Source organism: Homo sapiens, chromosome 11 (assembly GCF_000001405.40).
Source record: "Homo sapiens chromosome 11, GRCh38.p14 Primary Assembly".
In the NCBI taxonomy this organism is placed as follows: Eukaryota; Metazoa; Chordata; class Mammalia; order Primates; family Hominidae; genus Homo; species Homo sapiens.
In genome coordinates this window covers 112,286,749-112,303,986 of record NC_000011.10, presented here as the reverse complement: position 1 = coordinate 112,303,986, position 17,238 = coordinate 112,286,749, and the positions used below count along the sequence as shown (strand labels likewise).

At 44.6% G+C, this 17,238-nt stretch overlaps 1 long non-coding RNA gene across 1 annotated transcript in view, besides 3 other annotated features; it reads right to left on the bottom strand.

Annotated features, from left to right (window-relative positions):
• LINC02762 (long intergenic non-protein coding RNA 2762) overlaps positions 1–17,238 on the bottom strand; it is a 91,786-nt gene that overhangs the window by 58,548 nt on the left and 16,000 nt on the right. The window contains exon 2 of the long non-coding RNA NR_126004.1: positions 10,058–10,260. This is a non-coding gene — a long non-coding RNA (long intergenic non-protein coding RNA 2762). The remainder of the gene's footprint in view (positions 1–10,057; positions 10,261–17,238) is intronic.
• Positions 13,063–13,811: an enhancer, noted in NCBI's record as "NANOG-H3K4me1 hESC enhancer chr11:112160899-112161647 (GRCh37/hg19 assembly coordinates)". NCBI's record gives its function as "activates a minimal SCP1, AML or CMV promoter by ChIP-STARR-seq in primed H9 embryonic stem cells {active_cell/tissue: H9 hESC(primed)}" and the evidence as "EXISTENCE:reporter gene assay evidence [ECO:0000049][PMID:30033119]".
• Positions 13,063–13,917: a biological region, named in NCBI's record as "NANOG-H3K4me1 hESC enhancer GRCh37_chr11:112160899-112161647".
• Positions 13,608–13,917: a silencer, noted in NCBI's record as "silent region_3907". NCBI's record gives its function as "represses an Ori minimal core promoter by ATAC-STARR-seq in GM12878 lymphoblastoid cells {active_cell/tissue: GM12878}" and the evidence as "EXISTENCE:reporter gene assay evidence [ECO:0000049][PMID:35858748]".

Sequence of the window (17,238 nt, the reverse complement as noted above, 5' to 3'; positions counted from 1 at the left end):
TATTATTGCATTATGATTATCTACTTAAAAACTCATCCCCCCACTAAACCAGGAGTGCCCCAAGGGTAAGAATCATGTCTAGGTTTTTTTTTTTTTAATATATCCAGAACTTAGCACAACCCCTAGACTGGCTTAGAATAGGCATCAGTAAATGATTGCTGGATGAATCAGTAAATGATGCAGATTCTAGGTAAGAGCAGAGAGCTCTGGCAAGCCTGTGGAAGAGAGGACCTGAGGGCTGTGGGTTGGCTTTAAGACTGCTTGGTAAGGGACAAACAAGTTTGCAGTGGGCTAGGAGAGGTGGGCGTGAATCTCCAGGGGCACTAGGGCCTCACTGGAGGATTTAGAGGACCTAAAGTATCAGGAATTAGATGGTAGGATATTGGAAAGGGACAGAGACAGAAAATAGCTGCATTTCCCTTACTTTCTCCCCGTTTGGCATTCATGTCCCTCTCCTCTCCTTTTCTCCTTCTGATTACCTCTTCCTCTCCTCCCATACTCAGGAAGAGCAAGACATAGCAAGCCTAACAAAGAAAAGTGCCTTGGATCACTACTATTGTATAGGTAGAACACAGACAAAAAAGGGATATACTCAAATGGCCATCCCTCCTGGCCAGGATTTCTGCAGGCAGGGAAGACATCAACAATTCTGTACACCTGAAATACGTGATGCGGGAAGAACCATCACTCGATGGACAGCCTGCCCTCTCGATGCTCATATAGGAAGGCTTTCTTTAGACTTTCTTTTCTATTTCATCAATTCTTCTTCAGTACAAAACAAAAATCATTAACAACTCACTTGTAATTTATAACTTTCCCAATTTCAAAGCTCAACATTTTTTTGTTTTTTGAGACAGAGTCTCACTCTGTCACATGTTGAAGTGCAGTGGCATGATCTCGGCTCACTGCAACCTCTGCCCCCCGGGTTCAAGCAATTCTCCTGTCTCAGCCTCCTGAGTAGCTGGGATTATGGGCACACACCACCACGCCCATCTAATTTTTGTTTTTTTAGTAGAGACAGGGTTTCACCATGTTGGCCAGGCTGGTCTCAAACTCCTGACCTCAGGTGATCCACCCGCCTCAGCCTCCCAAAGTGCTAGGATTACAGGCATGAGCCACCGCGCCTGGCTCAACTTTTAAACACACTTAAAATACTCTGTCCTAACCAGGGCCTCAGATCTAGAGCACAGAACCCCTCTGCAAAGTCTATCAATGCAGCCAAGAGAGGGTCTGTTGGATTCCAGAGTGACAGTCACCTCAGAGGAGAGTTTCTTCACATTAGAATTAGAAGTGAAAGGGCCCAGTCTGCTCGGGTTTAGGAATCTCATTTCATTCCTGCTGTGCACTGCAGGCTGGTAGGTGTGACAAATTGTCTTATCTTTGTCTAACCTTTGTTGAACCCATGCTTGCTTCGGGGTTTAACTTTAATATATGGCTTCAGTTTAATAGCAAAGTGCTTCTCTTAAAATGTCAGATTGTAAAATGCTGAGTCATTCACCAAGAAAAGCCTGGTCCTGAGTGGAAATTAGAATTGCTGGGGCACACAGAGCAATACCACATATCTTCAGCCTAAATAGAGGAGACAGAGCTTAAGTTCAGATCAAATTTAGAAGGCAGTGCTGAGCTCCAGTGGGGCTGTTTGCTCTGAAAGACAAGAATGAATCAGATGGAACGATCAGGCAGCAGCTGAAATATTGTCACTCTTGAAAGTAAACACAGTGGCAAAGATGTGGTGTTCAACATTTTATGTACTTAACAACTGACTAAACTGTACTAAATGAGACCAAAATATGAAGAGAACCAAGCAAATAGTGTTCCAGATGTAAGAAGTGATACAATCCTGCCAATATGCCTACAAAGTTCTGTTAATTTTGTTTTATACCTATATTTGTCTTTATATTTATATATGAATTAAATTCCACAGTAATAATTATTTCAGGCCAGGCACGGTGGCTCATGCCTATAATCCTAGCACTCTAGGAGGCCAAGGTGGGTGGATCACTTGAGCTCAGGAGTTTGAGACCAGCCTGGGCAACATGATGAAACTCTGTCTCTAAAAAAAATACAAAAAAAAAAAAAAATTAGCCAAGCGTGGGCCTGGCTGTCCCAGCTACTTGGGGGGCTGAGGTAAGAGGATTGCTTGAGCACAGGTGGTCGAGGCTACAGTGAGCTGATTGCACCGCTGCACTCCAGCCTGTTTGACAAAGTGAGACCCTGTCTCAAAAAAAATAAATAAATAAAAATAAATTATTATTTCAGGCTGAATTATTAAAGAATCCTAAAATCAGAGGGCAGAATATGATGAGAAACAGGATATCTAGAAAGCATCTCTCCACAAAATGCTTTACTAAAGTAAAAATAGTAACTTTATGGTAGAGAAATCTGGCAGTCCCCACCTTAAACAGGAAGTCAAAGTCATCACCAATAATAAAACAAATCGATGATGTGCTCCTTAATATGATGCTCTGGGAAAGACACAACATCACTTCTGTGATATTCTTGCCAAAAATGTATGACCTGGATTTAGATCTCAAAGAAACATGACATAAACCCAAATTAAGGACGTTCTAGATGATAACTGGGCAGTATTTTTCAAAAATGTCAAGGTAATGAGAGACAAGGAAAAATTAAAGAACTATCGCAGATTATAGGAGACTAAGGGGACGTGAGAGCCAAAGGCAATGTGTGGCCCTGGGCTGGATCCTGGACGAGAAAAGGACAGTATTGGGAAAACTGGCAAAACTCGAATTAGGGCTACAGATTATATCATAGTATCTTATCAATGTTAATTTCCTGATTTTGATCATCATACTCTAAGTTATATAAGATGGTAACATTTGGGGGAATCTGGGTTAAAGAGTGTATGGAAATTCTTTGTACTATTTTTGCAACTTTTTTTAAAAAACTGAAATTAATTCAAAATGAAAAGTTAAAAATAAATAAAGCTTTAAGTGAATTAGAGGATCTCAATTTAGCAGTTATAAGGATGAGGGGAGAGGACTCTTCTTCTGCAAAGCCCTTACTCCCCATTCTCAGATAAAAAGAATTTTGGTAACTGTGAGACATAATAGAACTATCACAAATGTATGAATCTAGCTATATAAATAAAGCAGCATACGTCACCATTCTTTTTTTCCCCTGTAATTGTGTAAAATCTGCAAATTTTTCAAGATAGACAACTACAAGCTTTAGAGCTACAAGAGCTGGTATAAAGTAAGGTGGAGTGCTGTTTCCCATCCGGTAAGACAGGGCCAACACCGTCACTGGGAAGCCAGGAGACTTTGGCTGAGTTTCTCTTAGCTCCGTCTCTTCCTCCGTGAAATGGATTCATCTTAATGCCTGCACTAAGAGATGTGAAAGGGCAGTGCAAAAAGCGTCACTGTCCTCCTACTGCACAGCAGCGCATGGCAATGCTGCCACCGTTCTAAGGAGCATGTCGGGCACTGTGCCACAGCTTGCCTGGTTGGAGGGGACAGTGAGCTAAGTAACCAGTCTCTGGGACAGCCGTATCTAAGGTCTCTAGCCTCAGTCTCCATCCCTCACCCTGTGGTTTCCTCATCCCACTGAGCAAGGCGTGGGATGGGCAAGAGTCCACCGCAAGGGACCAGACAAGCTCCACGGCCCATTATTTGGGACTTCAAGCTGCCAGCTCCCTGCAGCCTCCCCAGTCCACTTTCACGTTCTCATCAGCATACTCCCCGCTGTCAGGCTGCTTTACTGGAGGCACGATTTACATTACACATCAACAACCTAGTGCCACAGGCAGCAAAGGCAGAGACTCATGATGGGCAGTGCCTGGGTCTGGCAGATGATGAGATGGGTGAGCTTGGGCCCCTCAGGACTCTTTTGCATGGAGAGTCGGTGGGAGCCTGCTGGTGTGTCCGTTCCATCCCACGCCTCAACCACAGGGAAATCTCATTCATTCCCCAACCACTCTACTCACCCTGCTGCCACCAGCTCCTTCTTGATCCACTAGGGCACAAAAAAAAAATTGCTTTTTGCTCTTGAGGAAGATGCAAAAGCCTATAGTTCCTGCAGGCCCCACATTCCCTCGCTCACAGGGCAGGGGCTAGACAGGCAGCATTTGTTAGTGTCTCCCATCAAAGTCACTTTCTGACCTGGCTGTTCATCTCTAACCTGCCTGTTCCTGTTTGCCAGTCTGTCCTCCAACGGCAAATGGAGAGCAGCGAGGCTGCCTTTCAGCCCTCTGGGTGCTGCTTTCCCTCCCCTAAACATCTAAGAAGACAGGTGTTCATTGAGCCCCTCTTCTCTGTCAAACCAGCAATAACTCTCTCAAAGAAACCTGCAAAAGGGGCCCACATGCCTGTAATCCCAGCACTTTGGAAGGCCAAGGCAGGTGGATCACTTGAGGTCAGGAGTTCGAGACCAGCCTGGCCAACATAGTAAAACCCCATCTCTACTAAAAATACAAAAATTATCCAGGCGTGGTGGCATGCACTTATAGTCCCAGCTATTTTGGAGGCTGAGGCAGGAGAATCGCTTGAACCTGGGAGGTGGAGGTTGCAGTGAGCCGAGATGGCACCACTGCACTCCAGCCGTCAGAGTGAGACTCCATCTCAAAAAAAAAAAAAAAAAGAAAAGAAAAGAAACCTGCAAAAGGTTTCAAAGTTCAACAAATAGGAATGCAAGTTCTGGTCCTAGAGCCTGCTTGCTGTGCATTCTTGGGTGAGTCATTACCCTTTCTGATTTCAATTACCTAACCGGTACCATAGAGAAAATCATGTGTACCTTGCAGGGTTGTTCTGTGGCTCAAATGAGATGATGTCTACAAATCACTTAGTGCCACGTACAGCACATGCTGGATATTCAATAAACGCTTAGTTCCAACCTCCTCGATAATAGAATGATTGCTTATTGAGCATACCAGTCTCTGATGTGGGTACCTTACCTACATCATCTAATTTAATCTCACAGTAAACCTATAAGGCAGCAATCTTCATCCCTTTACATGTGAGGAGACTAAGGCTTAGGGAGGTCAGGTAACTTTTGCTCAAGGTCGTACAGCCAGGAAGTAGCACAGCAGGACTCAAATCTTCTGATCCCAAACACCAGACATTCTGGTCTTCACAGCACAGCCTCCCTCCTGCCTTGGCAGACCTTAGAACTGGGCTGACATCGACAAATGGGGCAACTGGAAGGCACCGGCCCTGGCACCAGAAGCAGTGCTGGAAGGAAGCCCAGTCTGGGAGCCACAGGAGCAAATCCAGTGGTGGGAGGGAAGGGGCACCGCGGCTCAGGGTACAACCACACAAACGGGCGGAGTCCCACACCAGCATGGCTGGGGAGTGTGAGTGTGAATATCAGCTGTCCACTTGACTGGACTGAGAGAGGCCGAGGTGGCTGGTGAAGCATTGTTTCTGGGTGCGTCTGTGGGGGTGTTTTCAGACGATGTGAACTTGGGAGTTAGTGGACTGGGAGAGGAAGACCCACCCTCAACGGGGAGGACACCATCCAGTCGGCTGCCAGCACGGCCAGAGCAAAGCAGGCAGAGGAGGGGGCATATTCAGCTTACTGAGTTTCCTCTCCGCCGCCCCATCCCCTCTCTCTCTCCTTTCCCACATGGGATACTTTGCTTTCTCTCCTCCTGCCCTTGGCCATCAGACACCAGTCCTTTGGCCTCTGACTCTGGGACTTGCACCATCAGCCTGCCGGGGGCTCTCAGGTCTTCAGCCTTAGACTTGGGGCTGCGCTGTGGGCTCACCTGCCTGCTCATTCCTGGTTTTGAGATTTCAGATTTGGACTGAGCCAAGTTACCAACTGTTCTCATTCCCCATCTTGCAGAAGGCCTGTCATGGGACCCTTGGAGAATCTAATACAAAGAGGGTGGGGAGAAAGGCAGGGGGGCCATGTGGAAAGGGGAGAGTCCACCTGAGCACAGCTGGGGATCCTGGGTCAGGTGACACCCAGCCCTGCAGGTGGTCAATATCAGGGAGGTGTATTGGTCAGATTACCTTACTGTTCAAAGGTGGTTCCAGGACCAGCAGCACCACCTGGTCGCTGATTAGAAATGCAGAATCTCAGGCCCTCCCAGACCTCCTGGTTCAGAATCTGATGTTTAACAACAGCCACGGGTATTTCTTATGCACATTAAAGTTGGAGAAGCAATAAGTCAGAAGGTTACTGATCCCCTGCCATGAATTTGGGGAAAGCAGAGAGCAGTGGTTCTTAATCTTGGCTGGACTGGTTATCCAGATCCTTGTCCAGATTACAGCAACAATAACAAAATCCGGCCCACGGGGTTGCTTGTGAAGATCAGTGGCCCAGCACCCATGAACGCCCTTGTAAACTATAAAGTGCTCTAACAGTGGTACCTACTCCTTTTGCTTTTCCTGTCACATTTCCTCTGCTGCTTCAAAACCAAAGGAAGTGAGGCCTCATTTCTTCAGGTTTTGTCATTTAGTTTAACCCTATTTCATCCCACAAAGTCCGCAGAAGGCACAGATGAGAAAATCACCCCCTAGACCTGCCTTACTTCTGCTGAGTCCCTGCCTACTGCAGTTCTTCTCACCTCCTCCTCCACCCACCAAGGTACGTGAGACACTGGAGGAAGAGGAGAAAATGCCAACAGGTCTGATCTCCCAGGCGTAGAGATTTACAAAGCAGTCAGCACTTTTAACTAAAAGTCTTGTTCAGGATACACACAGACATTTATCATGTGGGCAGGGCCTAGCGCTCTGGTTGGATCTCAACATGGAGTCTCTTCTTTTATGTCAGATCAGGATGGGCCAACTGCAAACTGAGACAGGAGGGTCTGCTGGGAAAAAACAGGACCTGGAGAAGACCTGTGTTTAAGGCTTAACCCCAGCTCTGCCTCTAACTTACCTTATATGATTAGATGGATTATTTAATCACTCTTTCTATGTTCCCACCTCTCCTGCTGCTGTCAAACCTCAAATCTCTATTAACCATTGGAATTTTGTTAGAAAGTGATGAATAGTCCATGCAAAGGCATGTAATAAAGAATGTCTTCTATTTATAGAAATTTGATCATATTTAAAGCACTTGATAAGATGATAAACAAAGAAAATATTATCCCCATTTTATTAATTTAAAAACTGAGATTTGGGTTGATTTGTAAAATTGCTCAAAGTCTTGAAGTTTTACATGAAAGGCAGTGTCAAGAACAAAATCTGAACTTCTGACCCCTAGGCCAGTGCTCTCCCTACATTGCTAACTTCAGCGGAATGCCATTGCATGTATCTATGAAAAACCTATTTCCATTTCTACCTGCATAGAAAAAAGTAACGGTGGCAGAAGGGCCACATCCACTTTGACTGGTCCCACTTTGGAACTGAAGGAAGACTTTGGTTTCCAAATAATGTCTCTGCTAGAAAGGAAGTTTGCAAAATGTGGATCTCTCATTAAAGAGTCTTTCTGATTAGAGGGGAGTGGGAACAAGGCCAAGGAAAATGTAATGGGAGTCAGCCGGAGATGCAGGTGTGCGGTCTTATAAATTACTCAACAGTTCTTCACGAGAGCCCCCCAAGACCCCACAGCACAGTGGGAAGACGAGTGCTCCACTCTGCCCAAGGAACACATGGCCAGGAACTCCTGCTCCCCTTAGGATTGGGTCTAGGGGGTTTGATTCCAAAAGCCAAGGGTGGCAGGGACTTGCCGAGTTCAAAATAAGCCCCTTTCTCTGACAACTGCCAGTAGTCATGCTTGTACCATCTCATACACAGACACACATCCATATCGACTGGACTAGGGTGGTCACGTGACCCAAGCCCATCCAGTTCTCTCTCTCCCTGGGAGTCTGAAATTAGGACTTAGAGGCATCCAGTCAATCTGAGCTGGTTACTTGGATAAACAAGAGGAAAACTCAGGAGCTATGGGGCATCCATTTTATGCCATGCACGTGAGGAGCAAAGTCACATGTACACCCTGAACAGGACTTTGTTTGCAATTAATGTTTCTTTTACAGGGATGCAGAGGAAGAGAATGAACAAGGACTATGGGCTCCTAACAGCTTCAGAGCTCCCAGTCCCACCTCTTAAAAGGCCCAATTGTCCTGGGATCTTGTAAGATATCCCAGTATCACAATGTACTCTTTCCCCTTCCCGCACCCCGCTACCCCACAACTGGCTGTAGTTGGTTTCTATTATTAACAACCAAAGAACCGTGAATGAGACCCTAGGTAAAAGAAATTACCCACCATCTGATGACTGCTTGGCATGGCTACAAGCTACCAAAAAAGGTCTCACTCACCCTGCCTCCTCCAAAGGTGCAGGCAGCAATGAGATGTAGAAAAGCATTGGAAGGCAACCTTGGAGGCCGCGGACACTTCATAAGTGGTTTAAGGCAAGCAGAACATGACGAATAAATAAACTGAACTCATTCCCAGACCTAATTTTTTTAAGTAAAATAAAATCAGGTCCACTTAGAGTTTAAAATGGCATTTGGCTAGAAGTTCCTGACAAAGTGTCTCCAAACTTCTCCCTAAATTATTTATTACACAGAAAAATGACAAAAACTCACAACAATAATGAAAATGAAGACTAACAACCTGTTACCAGAATCTAGAAGGAATCTCTACTAACTAAATAAAGCTGCTAAAGCTGAGCTGCATTGAGACAAACAGTCCATGCTTCGCCTTAGAAAACAGAACAGCACATTGTCTCGAAAGATGATAGACATTTTCTTTCTCTCCTACTGTCTACCCCCAGTTCAGAGACCCAGGACCAAGCCAAATGAAAACCTGGCTCTCTATTATGACTGCTACTCTTTGGAGGAGCCGGAGAACTATTCCCTCTCCCTCTATCTACATCCATTCATAGAATGCAATTACTGGGAAACCACAGAGTAGGAAGGGGAAGAGGATTAGCAATGGCACGTCATGTTTTGGAAGGCATTTTTTCCACACAGCATGCCTTATAGGAAGCACAAAGGTAGTTTGTGCTGGAGAGTAAGATTTTCACATCCCCCATCAGTTCTGTTTGTTAGAGAATAGGCAGAAGAGGAAGGGAGAGATCCCATGCCAGTTCAGCAGGGCCGCACAAGATGAATGCCCTTCAATTCTGGGGAGCTGTGCACCACAACTGACCTTCAGCTACAGACCTAGGAATAAGGCAGTGAGCAAAGCCAAGGACAATCTGCACAGTCTACACTTCCTCTTTTAGCAAGCAAGCACCAAGGCTCCATGGAGCTCTACTTGCTTAAAGGTAAACAATGTGCCAGGCTGGAATTGGGGATATAGGGGAGGGAACCCTCAGGAGGCCTATGGAAAAACAGCATTCACCATAAGAGAATAAGGGAAACAGAGCCTCACCCAGAAGACTAAGAAAAAGAGCACACTTCTGAAGATAACTTACTATAGAAACCAGAAGAAAATGTTTTAAAACTGGCATTTATAATATAAAAACATAATATGGCCCTATGAAATTGAAACTGAAAAACATATATATACACATACATATATATATACACACACACAAATACATATAGATATATAGATACAGAAAACAAGCTGAGTTAAACTGATATCAGGATAAGCTTCAAAGACTGGCATGTGAGATGACATTTTAGGTTCTTACAAAAGTGTGATGGGGGGCCGGCTCCCTTGTTTATGTTAGACCTAATTGTGATTCTTTTAAAATAAACAGTGAAGCAAAACTTTTAGGATATCAAGAGAAAGCAGTTAGCTAGAAGAGTGGAGTTTTAAAAAATATGTCATCTAAAACAATATTAAACAATATTCAGATATGATCCACTCAGACTTCAGCCCCTTACTACTTGTAAGTGTTCTTCCCTCTGCAAACGTCCGAGCAAATCAGACCAGCACACACCCACTGGAGAAGAATGGCATTCTAAAGCTGCTTCTTTTTTTTGGCAGAAATGATGGGACTGTTAAAATTCAGTAATGATTTTATTACCTCATTTGAGATCATTTCATTGTCCAAGTTATTCTCTTTTTTCAGTAGCAACAGCAAATTTGGTAAGAAAGCAAAATCCAGCAGTTCTCATACAAATATTGCAAGAATTTTGTTAAAATATTTTAGGGTACATAGTGATTTCAGAATATGTATTATTATAGTACCTTTAGCTGCTGTACAAATACGTCCAATGTTTGTATCTTGGCTGAAGTACAATAAAAGCTTATCTGTCACTTACAAAAGAGCTCAAGGCAAATGTTCCCGGTTGGCAAGAGCAGCTGTCCACCCTGAGCACCCAGGCTAACAAAGTTTCTGCCACCTTCACCATGAGGCCCCAAGGTTGTCACTGTCCTCTCATGGCACTCAGCTGGAAGAGGGGAAAGAGAACAGAGGACAACTCATTAAAGGCTCTTATGGGGAAGTCCTATATGTCACACACATCACCTCCATTCACATTCTACTAACTAGAATACAGTCTCAGGGTAAATATTAGGGGCTTCAGGCTTATGAAAGAGAATTTGGCCAATGGAGTCCAAGAAAAGATATAAAGGAAACTGGTTGTAACAAGAGAAAGATATTCCCAAGAAAATTAAATTATTAAACAATAATTAAAAGTCATATAGGAAGGAGTAAATGAGTGAAATGGACATGGCAGAAAACTAAGGAATATCTTAGATGGCAAACTGGAGGAACACTTTCAGAATGCCAAGAAAGAGCACCAAGAATTAAAACTATTTCCTTAATTCTAAGATGTCTGTGTTGCCACATCATCACTTCTGAAATCAGGCCAAGTCTTGCAATCACTGGCATCTTATAATCACCCTGGGCCAGGGAGCTGCCATGGTGAGGTCATCAAGACCTGGGCATGGGTGAACTTGGTCTCAGTTGTTCATGTTGTTAGCACTTTAATTGAGTTGTATACATTGTTGCAATTACATGTGAGTTTAATTGCCATTTAAAATGTCTTTTAAAAGATTACACTATGGTTTGGCATTGAAATGAGAAGTTATTATGTATGCAGAAAGGCATGGAATTCAAGCAGCAGGATGTAATTTGATATTACTGAAGCAAATGTCTATTATTGGACCAACCACTGCAATTCTTTTTTTTTTTTTAAACTAAGTGCTTGACAGGACCCAAGAAAAGAAGGTATCCTTAAGTAGAAACTGTGTTATGTTTTGTAACTGAGACTCATGCAAAAAGAATTGCCTGTCACATGCCAAACAATGCAACCAAAGGCAGGAGCAACTGCCAAGTCCCTCAAAATAGATGAAGTCTATCAAAATAAGAGAGAGAATGGTGTGAGCAACTTACCAATTTCACAGGACTGTAATCATGGCATTATGTCACAGTTTAATTGGCAGCATTTTTTCTTCCTTAGTTGTACATATAATAATAGTGCTTCTTACAACAAATACTAGCTTAGATTCAATAAAATACAGTACTTTAAAAAGAAGACGATAGCTATGGAAGACCAGGAATAGAGATTGAGCCTAAGAGTTATGTTTCTGAAGAAGAATCTAGAACAATCAAAAGAGAAACAATAATTGAAGATATAATTAAAGAAAACTTTCCAAAAAAGTACAGAAAGGGCAAACAGAGGAATGGACTCAGTTCACCAGGTTCCAGGTAAAAGTAACCAAGAAACACTCAAATCCAGAAATATCCTGACAAGTTTTTAAATTACAAGCAAATTTTTAAGTGTTTTCTTTGTACATTCAGAAACAAAAGAAAAAGGAAGGAAGGAAGGAAGGAAGGAAGGAAGGAAGGAAGGAAGGAAAGAAGGAAGGAAGGAAGGAGGGCAAGAAGGGGAAGGGGAAGAGAAGGGAGGGAGGGAGGGATGAAAATTGTGCTGACTTTTTTGTGTCTACTACAATGGAGCAGTAGCTGACAGAGTTTTTATATGGAAAACACTTAGATGAAAATTTTACTCACAAATAAGTTTTAGTTTTTGAGGACAGACAACCAAAAGAGTTCAGAATGTCTGCCACTCACATATTCTTTAAATCACTTTAAAATATATTTCAACTGCCCAAGTGATGACTTAAAATTACTCAAGAATGGAAAAAAACAGAGCGTCAAAGGACTAGCAGTGAGTGTTGAAGCCAATTACACACAGAGAGTTGGTCTAAAACAATTGTTTAACTATGGTTACAAGACAGAATATGTGTCAAAAATACCCAAGAACCAAGAGACATACAACATCAAAAAATAATGCATGAATAATCCGATCCCAAGTCCACAAACTAATAAACTTTCAAATAGGAAAGGAGAACAGAGGGAAATAAAAGTGTACAGAATTCATCCTACACAGTTGCGAGCTTAAAAATACCATTTTATTCTTGACTTTAACAACCAGAGAAATATTGATTGGTGCTCACATCCATTTTTAGAAACTCATTACGTAGGAGAGTAGGGGCCTGTCCTTTAAAAGATAAAAACCTCACTCCTGCCTCAAGGTATTTACAGTTTGAAGATCTCTAACCAACACACAGGATAGGTTTTAATTTGTTACAAGAATAAACAAATGTCAAAGTCCTTGAAGAATTTAAGGTTTTGTGCAGAACCAGTCCTCAGATGCTGTTTCAATCTTACTGCCCACCAGCATTTTCCATTCCTTCTGGTAAAGCCTCCTAAAACCTGGTATGAAAGGACAGCAGTTCCTGGTCACTGTGGTGCCCTCTGTACCTGACGGCAGGGTCTGCTTGATGTCAGCGTGCGTTGTCACAATCCATGAACCGGATTGTCCTTGTTTAACAGCATCACTGGTGTCACTGAGAATGAGACACACAAATTCGGATTGCAGGGAAGCTCTCACGGTAACCATTACACACACAGCACTGAGACCTGAAATCAGTACACAAATACCAGATATTTTCCCTCCAGAATTTAATTTAATGCTCACAATCACCATCCAAGTAGGCAGCATTTTTCCCATTTTACAGATGAGAAAACTGAAGTTTAGAAAGGGTGTTTTCCAGAATTACAGAGCCAGTCAACAGATGGCAGAGAGGGGTCTCCAAGCCAGGAATTTCTGGCTCAAAAGTTCACTGTACCTTACCACACCATTTTCTTAATTCAAAGAAAGAAGGTACAAGGAACAGAAATGGATATAATAATTTTATAATTTATTAGAGTACTAGTAAAGATGCTGCCTCTTTTACAAAATGATAATCCAATGAACTGAACTAATCACACTGTGCTAGTACCCCATTAACCCTCTCTAAAACATTCACAAAGTGGATACAGGGCTGCTCCAGGGCCAATGAGATTTCTCTCCAAAGTAAAATTCCCCTGGAGTGCTCTGGTCTCTAAGGCTTGATTAGCAAGTACCAATTAATGCGCCTTCAGTCCTCTTTGTGTCTTGAGCACTGAGGGCTAACCCTTCCCTCGCCGACAAAGATAAGATTAAATCATTCTCACCCTAAAGAGTTCAAGTTCTAATGCACTGCTCCCTCCCAGGGCCTTGAATAGAGAATAATCTTTAGGACAAAAGAATGCATCTCTAATAGTGAAATTTTAGACGTCAGCAAAGGAGGTATTTTTCAGTCACACATAAGACACACACATTTTCCATGTCACACCTTATTGAGACAGTGGTTCCTCATCTGGTGCCGAGGACCGTGGCTCACCTCGGTGTCACCCAACTTAACGTCTTGCCCCGCCACAAATCACGGGTACAGAATAACCAGGGCGTGCCATGCCCGGGAGACTGGTCCAACCCCGGCGCCCAGGCCTGCAATCCCTGGGAGGCGTGGGCTGCCGCTGCCAGCACCCCGAGTCTGTCGCTGCGTCCCCGCGGCTCCCCCTCTCCGGGATCCGCCCGACCAGCCCAGGCGCCCGCAAGAGGGACCACGCCCGCCCGGAGCCGCCCGCGTCCCCGCCCCCCGGCACGCACCGTGTCTGCCAGAGGGCCGCTGCTGCCACCTCCCGGCCGCGTCTCCCCGAACCGCGCTCAGCCGCCACGCCCCAGAAACCCTCCCGGAGGACGCTCGGGTCCGAGTCCACTGGGCCTGGGAGGTGGTGACTGTCCTGGCAGGGGCTTCCTACGGCAAGAATCATCTTCCTTTCGGGTCACTCACGCAGCGCACCCAGACTGGAGGTGGAGATGAGCGCTTCCAGCACCGACCTCCCCCAGGGTTCCAACGGACACGTGCTCCACGCCCCTTCCCAGTCTTGGGGATCCGAAAAAGCCACACAGCCTGGCCCCAGGCACAACGTATAACAACTAGGACCCCCAAATCTGGGCAGGCCGGCTCCACTTGGGCCATCCTGGCTGCCTGAAAGAATGCGAGTTGGAGCAGAGATCTTTGAACTCAGATTCAAATGTCAGACCCACTGAATTAGAATCCCCTGGGCAGAGGCCAGGGAACTATTTTTGCAAAGTTCCCCCAGGTGATCCTAATGGTCAGGCAGGTTGGGGACCCTCCCAGTTACAAAATCTAGACGACGTTTTCAGGTTATCCACAAATGCACAGAAACACACACCCCTGGGTCTATGAAAAGGCAACAATATGAAGTTGTGCGCTTGAAATGAGAAAGATTTCATGACAGCTCATCACCTAGCCCGGGAGTTTCTAACCTTGTCTGTTTATCATGCCCTTAATGTCTCAATGCTTTTTTTCACAGTAACCCTAGGCCTAAAGAAATACCTGACTGTTCTGTGTATTAAGTAGCTAGACCCAAGTAAGAAGTATTTCTGTCCTAACAACTAGTAGCCACTAGAAAAAATATTGCATATAAACTAGAAAAAAAAACTTATCTCATTCTTAGCCACAACTTCTCACTAACGGGATGTGTGTGCTTGTTGAGCACTGCGCAACTTCTCAGACCTTGGAATTGGATTAGACGCTGCCGCCCTCATTTCCTATTCTATATTGATTTTCCCATGGTACGTGTTTTATGTCACAGCAAATGACAAAAACTGAAAATGTAGCTTCAGAAAAATATGGTTTTATCAAAAAACATGTAGGGCAGGCTAGGCGTGGTGGCTCACACCTGTAATCCCAGCACTTTGAAAGGCCAAGGCAGGTGAATCACTTGAGGTCAGGAGTTCGAGACCAGCTCAACCAACATGGTAGTAGTAGAGAAACCCCATCTCTACTAAAAATACAAAAATTAGCTGGGCGTGGTGGCATGTGCCTGTATTCTCAGCTACTCAGGAGGCTGAGGCAGGAGAATCTCTTAAACCTGGGAGGCGGAGGTTGCAGTGAGCCAAGATCACACCACTGCACTCCAGCCTGGGCAACAGAGTGAGACACCATCTCAAGGAAAAAAAAAAAAAACTGTAGGGCAATCTAATATTGAGTCTTCAAGCTATCCTGCACTACTTAGTAGTTTGCATGGAGCCCAACAAAAGTTGAGTGTTGCCTTTGGCCTTTAAAATATCTCAAAGAGCCCCTCTGAATCCACAGCAGCTCCAAGAACACCTCAGCACAGAGTTTGGGAACATGCATGGAACTCACTCCTGCTCCTCTCCTCATCCCACACTCCCCAGGGTTCACAGTGCTCCTCCTGCAAGCATCTTCTTTCTTGCCAAATGCTTTCCCACCTCAGCACTTTGTGCCCTTGCTCTTCTCTCTGCCTGGAATGCTCTTCCTCAGGTCTCCGCAGGCCCAGCTCCTTCTTGGCCTCCAGGTCTTGGTTCAAAGACCACTGTGCTCCCTAAAGCCTCTTCAGGCCTCCCACCAAATCACTTCTATCCTATGGGCCTGTTTCCTTTTCTGTATAGCTTTTATCACTATCTGAAGTTATCCTGCTTAGTTTACTTACTTATTTTCAAGCTTCCCCACCAGAATGTGAACTTGATGAGAACAGAGACTTTTGTTCATTACTGTTTCCGCAGAACCCGCAACAATGGTTAGCAATAAGTAGACAATAAACAATTGTTCAATGAATGACTGCAGCCTCTACACTCAGCTCAGGGAGATAAAAGGTAAGAAGAATGTGCTTTACACGTGCTATCCCCTTGGATCTTCACAACACTCTTTGGAAATAGATACAAATAGACATGATTAACCCCATTTAATAGATGAGAAACTCACATTGAAAGAAGTTAAGTGTTCAAAGCTGCACAGCTGAAGTGGCAGAGCTAAGATTCAAGTTCATGTCTACTTGACTGCAAAGGCTGCTTTTCATAAAATCACATTAACATCATGTTGGATACCTTCGATACACACAATACATTTTTTTTTAAGACGGAGTTTCACCCTTGTCACCCAGGCTGAAGTGCAGTGGCACAACCTCGGCTCACTGCAACCTCCACCTCCTGGGTTCAAGCGATTCTCCTGCCTCAGCCTCCCAAGTGGCTGGGACTACAGGCATGAGCCACTACATTGGCTAATTTTTGTATTTTTAGTAGATACAGGGTTTCATCATGCTGGCCAGGCTAGTCTCAAACTCCTGACCTCAGGTAATCCACTGGCCTTGGCCTCCCAAAGTGCTGGGATTACAGGCATGAGCTACCGCACCCGGCCAACATTTATTTTTTTTAAAAAAAATGTTAACCACATTGCCTCCCATTATCCCATTATCCACCTAGAAAAGCTAATAATAACAATGGCAAAGTCAAGAAATGTAGCCAAGGGGCCAACAGAGCCCCAGAGTCCTTAGAGAAACTGGCCACATCGGCATTTCCCCACTCGAGGACTCAGCCCCTGCCTCCAGTAGAAAATAGCAGAGGTGCCCACCTGGGAAGGCCTTGCCTTTATTATTCCTCTGGCCATAGCTGGCCATACCAAGGAGACCTCTTGCAGACATATCTTCTGGCCTGGCCCATGTTACTCTGTAAACCTAATGACATGTGTAACTCTCGTTGCTGATTACAACTGCCGAGCTCCTGTTGATCATCATGACAGGTAAGAGGCAAACACACATGCAGCTGCAATCAAGGACATGATGAGCACCTACCCTGAGCTCTGGATGGCACTGGGTGCTCAGGTTGCCCACATTTTAGACAGTCGCTGATTGGAGCAAGAATTATTAGGCCACACTCATCTGCATCCCCCAGGAAATGCTGGGTTGCCTTGACCCCCTGGGAGGAGTTATGAAGGGTCCCCACAGGCTAGAGCTTGGGTGGCTGGACACTGAGTTGGAGACCCTCGTACAAAGAAAGGGAGATTAAAATTTGTTCTGTAGAGTCAAGGGACTTGTGCTTGTCAACTTCCCCTCTTCATATGGCTTTGTTTCCCCATGTTGCTTTTAAACAGGTGGTTCAGGCAGGAGAAGAAATCAGCTCTTCCCTCCTCACCCCTATACTCCCCTTGGCCTGGCCCAGCTATAACTTCTGCTTATTCAAGACTCAGTAGTGTTGGTGCTGCCTCCAGGAAGCCTGTCCTGGCCCCTG